We start from the raw sequence: 11,249 nt of genomic DNA, 5'->3' as shown, positions 1-11,249 counted from the left end.
TGATTAATTTTCCCATATGAAAATTAGCCATGTATCCCTGGGAATAAACCCTGTTTGATCATGGTATATAATCCTTTTTGTAGGTTGTTAATTTCTATTTGATAATATTCTGTTAAGGGTTTTTGCATCTATATTCATGAGAGGTATTGGTCTGTAGTTTTATTTTCTTGTCATATCTGGTTTGGGTATAAGGTTAATACTAACTTCATAAAATGAATTGAGAAGTGTTTCCTCTGCTTCCATTTTCTAGACAATATTGCATAGAATGGGTATTTGTTCTTCTTTAAACATTTGATGGAATTCACTAATAAAATCATCTGGGTCTGGAATTTCTTTTTTAGGAGTTTGGAAATTATAAATTCAATTTACTTAATAGTTGTTGGGTTAGTAACTTTGTTTTCATTTTTTATTTTTTTGAGAGGGAATCTCGCTCTGTCACCCATGCTGGAGTGTAGTGGCATGATCTCAGCTCACTGCAACCTCCGCCTCCCAAGTTCAAACGATTCTTATGCCTCAACCTCCCTAGTAGTTGGGATTACAGGCAAGCGCCACCGCACTGGGCTAAAGGGCTATTTAAATTATCTATTTCATATTGGGTGAACTGTAGTAGTTTGTGCTTTTTTGAGGGATTGATCCATTTCATCTAGGCTTGGAGATTTATGAGTGTAGATTATAGTATTTCCATATTATCCTTTTGCTGTCTCCAGGATCTGTAGAGATATCTCAGTTTTATTCTTGATATTTGAGATTTTTGTTTTCTCTCTTCTATTCTTTGTTGTCTTACAAGAGTTTTGTGAATTTACCTTTTCCAAAAAAAAAGGTCTTTGTTTTATTGGTTTTCTGTAGATTTGTGTTTTTAATTTTAGTGATTTTGCTGTTATTTATTTATTTATTTTTGAGATGCAGTTTTACTCTTGTTGCCCAGGCTGGAGTGCAATGGCACAATCTTAGTTCACTGCAACCTCCGCCTCCTGGGTTCAAGTGATTCTCCTGCCTTAGCCTCTGGAGTAGCTGAGATTACAGGTGTGCACCACCATGCCTGGCTAAATTTTCTTGTATTATTATTTGAGATGGGGTTTCACCATGTTGGCCAGGCTGGTCTCGAGCTCCTGTCCTCAGGTCATTCACCCACCTTGGTCTCCCAAAGTGTTGGGATTACAGGCATGAGCCACCGCGTCCAGCCAATTTTGTTGTCATCTTTATTATTTGCTTTATTCTACTTGCTTTGGGTTTATTTTGCTCTTCTTTTGTAGATTCTTGAGGTGGGAGCTTAGATAATTGAGTTGAAATCTTTTCTCTTTTCTAATGAATGTATTCAGTGCTATTAATTTCCCTCTCAGCACTAATGTAGCTGTGTCTTATGCATTTTCATATGTTTTATTTTTTAATTTTCATTCAGTTAAATGCATTTTTAAAATTTCCCTTGATGCTTTCCCTTTCACTCATGAATCATTTAAAAGTGTTTTGTTTAGTTTGCAAATGTTGGAAGATTTTCCTGTTATCTTTCTGTTGTTGATTTCTATTTTGGTTCATTATGATTACAGAACATACTCTATATCATTTCAGTTATTTTAAATTTGTTGGCCAGGTGTGGTGGCTCACACCTGTAATCTCAGCACTTTGGGAGGCCAAGACCAGCCTGGCCAACCTGGCGAAACCCTGTCTCTACTAAAAATACAAAAATTAGTTGGGCGTGGTGGCACATGCCTGTAATTCCAGCTACTAGGGAGGCTGAGGCACGAGATTTGCTTGAACTTGGGAGGCGGAGGTTGCAGTGAGCTGAGATCATGCCACTACACTCCATGACACAAAATATTACCTATCATGGTATATGTTCTATGGGCATTTGAAAAGTATGTGTATTCTGCTGCTGGTGAGTGGAACATTCTATAAATGTTGATTAGATACCATTCCTTGATGGTGTGTTGAGTTCTTGTACATCCTGGCTTATTTTCTGCCTAGTTGTTCTCACAATTATTGAGAGGGAGTTGTTGAAGTTTCCATTGCTTCATTCTGCTTTCAATTCCATCAGTTTTTGCTTCACATATTTTTCAGCTCCAGCATTTGGTGCATACACTTTCAGAATTATTAAGTCTTCTTGGAGGATTTACACTTCATCATATATAGGGTTCTTCTCTCTCTTTGGTAATTTTCTTTGCTCTGACATCTACTTTATCTGACATTAGTATAGCTGCTCCTGCTTTATTTTGTTTAATATTTCTTCTCTCCCCTCCATTCTGCGGTTGAGTCCATTCAGAGTTTTTTCTTTATATAATCTGTTTCCTAGATGAGTTTTTCTAATTCTTTTCATTTGTTTCATGCATGTTCCAAATTGTTTGTTAAAATATTGGCCGGGTGTGGTGGCTTACGCCTGTAATCCCAACACTTTGAGAGGCCGAGGCAGGCAAACTGCTTGAGGCCAGGGGTTGGAGACCAGCCTGGCCTACATGGTGAAACCCCATCTCTGCTAAAAATACAAAAAATTATCCCAGCATGGTGGTGCACGCCTGTAATCACAGCTACTCAGAAGGCTGAGGCTTGAGAATTGCCTGAACCAGGGAGGTAGAGGCTGCAGTGAGCCGAGATTGGGCCAATGCACTCCAGCCTGGACAACAGAGCGAGACTCTGTCTCAAAACACACACACACACACACACACACACACACACACACACACTATATACATATATATATATATATATATATGAGCTACTTTAAAGTCTTTGTCAGATAATCCTAATCATCTCTTTCTCATCTTAGTGTTGGCATCTATAATTGTTTGTTTTTCATCTAGTTTGAGATCTTCCTGGTTCTGTATATGATGAGTAATTTTCACTTGCAATCTGGATATTTTCCTATAATATGAGCCTGTGGATCTTATTTAAACTTTCTGTTTTAGCTGGGATTCCCTGGCACTTTTCTGGCAAGGGAAGGAGGGGTCACCTCTTTGTTACTTCCAGGTAGAAGTAGAAGTCCAGGTTCTCTACCTGGCCTCTGTTGACATCTGAGGTTGGGGGAGGGCCCCTCATTACTGCCAGATAGAAGTGGAAGTCCAGGCTGATCATGTGGTCTCCACTGACAATTTGGGGTGGGCTCATTACTGATTGTTGAGCATAAAAGTCTCAGTTCCCTACTTGGACTTACCTGACACCATCTCAAAAGGGGTCTTTGTTGCCTTTTTACAGCTCTGACAGAGTAGAAGTCTAGGCTCCCCATTCAACCTTTGCTGGGCTGGTGGGGATGGGGGCCATGGTCTTTTCCATGGAATTTTGCTGGAGTGGGACAGCTATGCCTAAAGGCTGCCCTTTTCCCATTTATTTGGCTAAACACATCAGGCCTTTATTGGGGCTGTATTTTTTTTTTTTTTTTTTGCTGCACTAATTATCTTGACTGAGCTACTGGCTTCTTCTTTAGTTTCAAATGTGGGATAAATGAGGCAAAAAGAAAACCCAGAGAACTCGCCACTGTGTCATTCTTCCATCTTGAGATCTCTAGGCAGCTTTTCCTTCTCTGCGTCTTTCAGTCGCCTGTGTTTGTTTTATACATAAAACGTCGAGGGTGTTTAGTGGCACTTAGCAGGAGGAATAGGGAAGGGTTCCTCTATTTCGTTTTCCTGGAAGCAGTTCTCTCATTGTGGTTTTAGTTTGCATTTCTCTAATGCCAAATGATGTTGAACATCTCTTCTTGTGCTTATGTGGCATCTGCAATTCTCTTCCGTGAAATTCAACTATTATCTTAAGCTCTTATTCTCTCAACCTTCTGACAATCTTATTTCCTGCTTTGTTAACAGCAGATTTTCATCTTCTCAAAGAAAATTGAAGTCATTGAACGGGAATTTCCTCAAATTTCTAACACCAATCCCACAAATAAATCAAAATTTGCCCCCTTCAGCCTTTCTCTCCTGCTGCCTGGGGTCCTACCCCCTTCCTCTTTTCAGAACCCTATGCCATTAATTATTGCTTATCTTTCCCATATATTCAATTACTTCTCAATCAACTTTTCCCAAGAAAATTTAAACCTGCTCAAGCTTCACTTTGTTAAACAAAAGCATACAGGACCTCCCCTCCCTTGTGTTTTTTTGTTTCTCTCTTCTATCTCAGTCAAAATTTCTCAAAACGAACACTTCATTTCTATGAAAAAAAATTTTTTTTAATAGAGGCAGTGTCTTACTATGTTGCTTAGGCTGGTCTCAAACTCCTGGCCTCCAATGACCCTCCCGCCTCAGCCCAAAGTGCTGGAATTGCAGGTGTGTGCCTCCATGACTGGCAAAACAAGCACTTATCTTTCCAGTCTGGCTTCTATTCTCTTCCCCTCACTGAAAGCTCTTGCTCAGGTCAATGAAGGCCACCAAGTCACCAAATCCAGTGGGCATTCATCCACCCTTACTTTACTTGACCATTCTTTTTTTCTTGAAATAACCTCTTCCTTATACTTTGGGAAACTCTCACTCCAGGCTTTCTTCCTGGTGCTCTGGATACTCATTCTGGTCCCTCTTGCAGACTCTTCCTCCCCACCAGGCTATTCAGTATAGTGGATTCCTCAAGGCTCAGTCAGGCTCTTTTCTCTCTTCCATTTAAAACCTCTTCCTGGGAAACCTGGCTTCAGTTACCAACTCCATAGCAAAGACTTGCACATCTATATCCCCACCCAGACTTCTCTGAGCTGCGAACTCTCATATTCAATCACCTTCTCTAAATCTCCACTTGGCTGTCACAAAGACACATCAACCATAACAATGCCAGACAGAACTCATGCCCTTTCCCCATAAGCCCAGTCACCTTCTGTTACTCTTTTCTCCATTTCCACTACCACCACTACTGTCCAAACCATCACCATCTTTCACCTGGTTGTCCATAAATAGCCTCAACTGGACTCCCTGCATCCCCTCCACCTGGATGGATGGATGGTTCTTTGTACCACAATGCCAAAATATAAATTGGATTATATCAGCTCCTGCTTAAACCCTTTTAATACCTCCAATTACACTGAGCATCTATCAAGCCCCAAATCCTTTTTTTTTTTCTGAGACAACCTCTCCCTCTATCACTCAGGCTGGAGCGCAGTGGCACAATAATAGCTTACTACGGCCTCGAACTCCTGGGCTTAAGCAATCCATCTGCCTTGGCCTCTTAAAGTGCTGAGGTTACAGGTGTGCACCACCATGCCCAGCTAATTTTTTAAATTTTTTATTTGTAGATACAGAGTCTTGCTGTGTTTCCCAAGCTAGTCTCGAACTCCTGGGCTCAAGGGATCTTCCTGCCTTGCCCTCCCAAAGTGCTGGGATTACAGGCTCAAGTCACTGCACCCGGTCAGCCCCAAATCCTCAACCTGGCCTGTAAGGGTTTCTGTGTTCTGGATCCTGTCTCTTGTCTAGTCTCATGTCATATCATTCCTTCCCTTTCATTTATCACTTAAGCTCCAATGGCCTTCAATCAGTGCCTTTACCTTCATCTCAAAAATACCCCAAAGGGTATGATTTTCTCAAACCTCAGCAATATGAAGGTCCAGAAATCCAGAGGGGAAGCCACCTCCTGTTCTAAATGTGAACATTCTCTGCTTCAGGACCTTGAGTTACGATTCCGTTCCTCCCAGCACTGCCCATTTCCAAATCTGTCCTTCATCCATCCGCCTGGAGGCTTCCACCACTGCCAGTGGATTGTTTCTGTCTTCTGTCTCCTATTCAGATCAATACACTCCTAATGGATCCTGGCATTGGGACATGACATCCTTACCAGCATTGCTTCTGTGGCTGTGTTATGCTGAAGCATAGTGCTTCGTCACCATGCTTCCATGCTACAAGTCACGGAATAATGCCCTTTACACCCTGACATTCAGTCTCTAGTAGCCCCCTTCCTTTACATCCCTATAAGCAACCTTTCCCACCCAGCTCCAAACTTGAACATGGGGAAAATATGAGAATTTTTTGCAAAAAGTCTGTTAGAAATTGATTTAAAAATGACAATTAAAAATGTATTTAGGTGTAGAAGAAGCTTCTACTGAAAAACAGGTGAACAGATGGGGCTGGGGGATTTTGTGATTATTACGTAAAGCCTGTATAGAGGAGAGGAAGGCACTGGGAAGGAGTATCAGGATGTGAAGTAGGACCTTTCTACTCTGCTGAGACATTAGTTTTGAAAATAATTGTGCATGTACTATGCTTCAGGGCCTTGAGAGTTAAGAAGGGGAGAACTTGTGTCACTTCCTCAGGGAAGCCTTTCTGGATCCCTCCTGCTACTTTTGAGTTTCATCTTTTCTGAGTTCCCATTGCACTTTCCATTAATTCACTAAATTAATTAATTATTAATTTTTATTAAGATATAATTTATACACCATAGAATTCATTCTTTTAAAATGTACAATTTAGTGGTTTTCAGTATATTCAAAAAGTTATAAAATCATCACCACTATTTAATTTCAGAATGTTTTCAATATCCCCAAAATAAGCCTCATACCTAGTAGCAATCACCTCTCAAACTCCTGTTCTCCCAGCCCCTGGCAACCACTAACTTACTTGCTGTCTCTATACATTTTCCTATTCTGGACAGTTTGTATAAATGAAATAATTCAACATGTGATCTTTTGGGTCTGGCTTGTTTCAATGTTTGTTCATATTGTAGCATGCATCAATACTTCATTTTTATGACTGAATAATATTTCCTCTTATGGATAAATTACATTTTACTTATCCATTCATCAGTTGACTGACATTTAGGTTGTTTCCACATTTTGTCTATTGTAAATAATGTTGCTATGAATACTAGTATATAAGATTTTGTGTAGAAGTATGTTTTCAATTATCTTGGGCATGTACCTGGAAGTAGAATTGCTGAGGACATGATAACTGTATTTTTAACTTTTTGAGGAACTTCCAAATTGTTTTCCAAAATGCTGTACCATTTAACATTCGTACTAGCAATGTATAAAGTTTCCAGTGCCTTTACATCCTTGCCAACACTTGTTATTATTGACCTTTTTGATTTCAGCCATTCTAATAGATATGAAATGACATCTCATTATGGTTTTGATTTGCATTTCTCTAATAACTAACGAAGTTGAGCATTTTTCATGGGCTTATTGGCCACTTGTGTAACTCTTTGGAGAAATATCTATACAAATGCTTTGGCCATTAAAATATTGGTTATTTGTCCTTTTACTATTGAACTATAAGAGTTTTAAAATATATTCTGAATATTAGTGACTTATAAGATATATAATTTACAAATGTTTCCCCCAGTCTGTGGGCTGTATTTTCATGTTCTTGTGCATTTTTTGAAGCACAAATGTTCTTAATTTTGGAAAAGTCCAGTTTAGCCATTTTTATTATTGTTTGGCTTGTGCTTTTGCTACTGTATGTAAGCAACCACTGACTAATCCAAGGCTGTTAATATTTATGCCTGTGTTTTCTTCTAGATTTTCATAAATTTAGCCTCAGTTTTCTCACATAGGCAATGCAGATAATAAAACTTAAGATCATAATATTGTAATCTTAGTATTGTTCAGAGGCTTGGATATGTTGACACATGGAAAGCCCATAATAAAGGGTTAGACTCTGCTGTTTCATAATTACGAGTGTTTATTCTTCTTACCTTCCTAACTTCAAGGAGTCCTTTAATCACTTCCTGTTTAACTTGAGAAGAGTTGGCAAATACACCTGCTAACAGCAACTGATAAACAATGTTATCTGTAGCTTTCTAATGCTTGAGCTTCCACAAAGGCCTTCTTTAAACCCAGGTAGGCTGAACAACAAGGTACTCTATCCATTGGGCTCATGCACTAACATCACTGTGAACAGAGAACAACACCTGCTGTCTGTGGCACTGGCCAGGGGTGAAGAGAGGGACTATGAGGCCATTTTCCTGGAGTGGTTGGGGCATTAGAACTGGGGGAAGGCAGGCAATCTCAGAACTTACCTAAAAAGAGATGCAACCCACAGACTCCTAGAAAGCAAAGCAGAGTGGATTGCAGATTTCTAAGGTGGTAGTCATGGGGGAGGAGGCTTATCCCCATTCACCATCTTAAACATTTGGTAGGAGAAGTTATGCTGGGATTTCTTTAATTTATTTATATTTCCTCGTGTGTGTGTGTGTGTTTTTTTCTCAAAGAAAATGCTTCAGGTTTTTTATTTTTTTTGTGGGGGCGGTGGTGGGGGGAGATGAAGTCTTGCTCTGTCATCCAGGCTGTAGTGCAGTGGCACAATCTCAGCTCACTGCAACCTCCACCTCCCAGGTTCAAGCGATTCTCCTGCCTCAGCCTCCCAAGTAGCTGGGATTACAGGCACACGCCACCATTCCTGGCTAATTTTTGTATTTTTAATGGATATGGTTTTTATCATGTTGGCTAGGCTGGTCTTGAACTCCTGACCTCAAGTGATCTGCCTGGCTCGGCTTCCCAAAGTGCTGGGATTACAGGTGTGAGCCACAATGCCCAGCTGAAGCATAAGTCACCTACTTCCAGCAGGAATTTAACCAGTGACCTAAGGATTGCTTCAGTTTTTTAAAAAAAGTTTGAAAACGACTGATGTAATCCAACCCATCATAAATGAAAATGCAGCCCACAAAAATTCAGTGATTCACCCAAAGTCACACAGGAAGGGAACAGCAAAGCTGGAACTCCAAAGTGGGTGTCTGTTCTGACCAGGAGACCAAGATTCTTTCTATGTCACCTGCTGCCTCCCTGTTAAGTCACCTTCCACAGCATCTGAAAAATTCTTAGCATGTGCTGACTTGAGTCATAGAATATCTTTGGTTGTAGATATATTGTCCCCATGAATAGATTTATCTGATCATAGATGTTTGGATCTGCAGGGCGTGGGGACTAGATTTAGGATCAAGAGGATGGATTCCAAACTCAGGTTCTGGTGGATTTGGGGTGCCACTTAACCTGTGCACATCTCAGCTTTTTCATCTGAAAAATGGGATTCTAAATTCTCTTCCTGCTACCTTTCTTTCATTGTTCTGAGGATCGCTCAAACAAAAGACATGAAAGAGATGTGTAATTGTAATGTATTCATTTAGATCTTCATTTATTCCTTTAGTAGCAGAATATTGGTGCTCATGGCTTTATTTGGTTTAGAGAATCACTAGTTCTAACCTTCTCATCACAGGGTTTTTCTTCTGATTCCCGAGCTGGCAGGGAGAGGCTGTGCTAAGTGGCTGAAAGTTTGTCACTCTGTCCCACACCTGCCATGTGACTACATGATGCCATGTGACTACACCCAGGACAACTCCCTTCAGCTCTTGCTCATATTTCCAGATGCTCACTAGACCTAAATGCTCACTAGATCCAAATACCTGAGTATCTAAGAGGCATCTGTATTTATTCTCCCCCAAGCCTGGTTTGTCTTCCTCATCTTGGTATATGGCACCTCCAAAACCCTAGGTACCATCCTTATGTACTCCCATGTCCTCGATTCTCACCTCATTTACAAATGGAAATGGAAATTTTCTCTACAGCATCCATTCTGCCCTCTCCCACTACTCAGCAACTATGTCATTTGTGTAGGTCTGACTACACCCGTACCTTTATTGGTACAAGCAAATTAAAATAATTTCACCCTCTTACCTATGGTGATGGTTTCCAATAAATCCCATCTAAGCTAAGCTAATCAGTCCATTGGCAGCTGGGGATTAATGGGAGTATTAAGCCAACTATCATTTTAATTCTCCTGGAAACAGGGATTTGTTTAGAAGTGGTCGAATCAAGCCCCAACTCAAGATTTTTATTTTATGGTTATTGGGAATGATGCTTGCTTCCTCCTATATGTGAACAGAACTAACTCACAATCATGTACGTATATTGTTCTAGGAGCCATCTTGGAGTTATTAATAAAGTTAGCGTAAGAATAAATGGACACATAGAGAGTGGGAGAGAGAAAGGGCAGACCTGAGAATCACAGAAAAATAAACCTGGAGACCTGATCAAACCTTGCATGAAGCTTCCACTCTTCCACTTTTCATTTGTGGGAATCTGTAAGTTGCACTTATTTTTCAGACTGTTAATATTTACATTTTCTGTTACCTGAAATCAAAAGCACCCAAACTGATAAACTTACTTAAACCACTAGCAAGTCATGTAACATCTGTTTCTAAAACTGTGTAACAAATCTGTCCATATCTCACTGTTATCGTCACCACCACCTAGTTCAAGGCAGCAGCATCTTTGGTCTGGACTATTGTAACAATCCCTACTTCAATTTTCAGCCTCTACTGTTCAATGTAGCCCCCAAACAGCAGCCAGAGACATCAGTTAAAAATGGAAACCAGATCTGGTTACTTTCTTGATGAAAACCTTTCAAAGATTTTCATTTGCTCTTAAAATAAAACTCACTGTTCCCCTTCCCCATCCCAGCCAGCCCTACTGGATGGACATGTCCCCTGCGTCTCCCGTTGCTTCTCTTTGGGCTTTCTGCCCCAGCCTCATGCCTCTCCTCGAACAGCCACTCCCTTTCCCACTTGCTGTTCCCTCTGCCTGAAATATTTTCCTTTTGCCCTCACCTGACAGCCTTATTATTATCGTTTAAGTCACAGCTTGAATATCACCTCTTCAGAGAGGTCTTTCCCAACCACCTCTCCCAGCTTCCCTATCTGTTCCCTAGTTTATGTCCTCCAAAGTGCTTATCAAAATTTGTAACGATTTCTTTTATACATTTACTTGTTTATTGTCAGTACAATGTAAGCCCCTCATGAGGACCTTGTCTGTCTTGTTTAAACTTGACTTACAGTTAGGCTCAATAAATATTTGTTGAATTGTTGTTGAATGGTGAACACCCAACAGCTGTGCGGCAACAGGAAATGCCATAGGGAGGTGCACCAGAGCGCCACCCAGTGGCATCTTAGGCCTGGCATGGAGGTTTTCAGAGCTCAGTCCAATGACACAACTTGAAACATTGATCTGAATCATCTGGCAGGTGAGAGACAATGAACACCCAGTCAGAGGCTGGGAAGTGATGGAGGAGCAGCTAGGATCATAATCGGTTGCTTTGGCTGAACACACTGCAACTCAGTAACATCGGTTTACTTGGGAGTTTGTTAGAAATGCATCCTTGGTCCCTACCCAGGCCTACTGAACCAGAGTCTGCATTTAACAAGATCCCAGGTGATTTGTGTGCACCGAAGAGTTTGAGAAGTGCTGCTCTACAGCATCTTGGATGTGCATTGCCTGCACTGATATCCAAAAATCCCTGTGCCAGGAGGCACAAACCAAGCTTTCTCATTTACTGTATGACCTTCAGCAGTATTATTAACCTCTTATT

General features: G+C 40.6%; 1 annotated feature.

Moving 5' to 3' along the window:
- Window positions 8,127–9,326: an enhancer, noted in NCBI's record as "P300/CBP strongly-dependent group 1 enhancer chr10:86028972-86030171 (GRCh37/hg19 assembly coordinates)". NCBI's record gives its function as "activates an origin of replication core promoter dependent on BRD2, BRD4, P300/CBP, MED14 and CDK7 cofactors, with strong dependence on P300/CBP, by STARR-seq in HCT116 cells {active_cell/tissue: HCT116}" and the evidence as "EXISTENCE:reporter gene assay evidence [ECO:0000049][PMID:35650434]".

The sequence above is a fragment of the Homo sapiens genome, chromosome 10 (assembly GCF_000001405.40).
Source record: "Homo sapiens chromosome 10, GRCh38.p14 Primary Assembly".
Lineage (NCBI taxonomy): Eukaryota > Metazoa > Chordata > Mammalia > Primates > Hominidae > Homo > Homo sapiens.
Note: the sequence above shows the minus strand (reverse complement) of the source record. Positions and strands in the feature narration are given on the sequence as shown.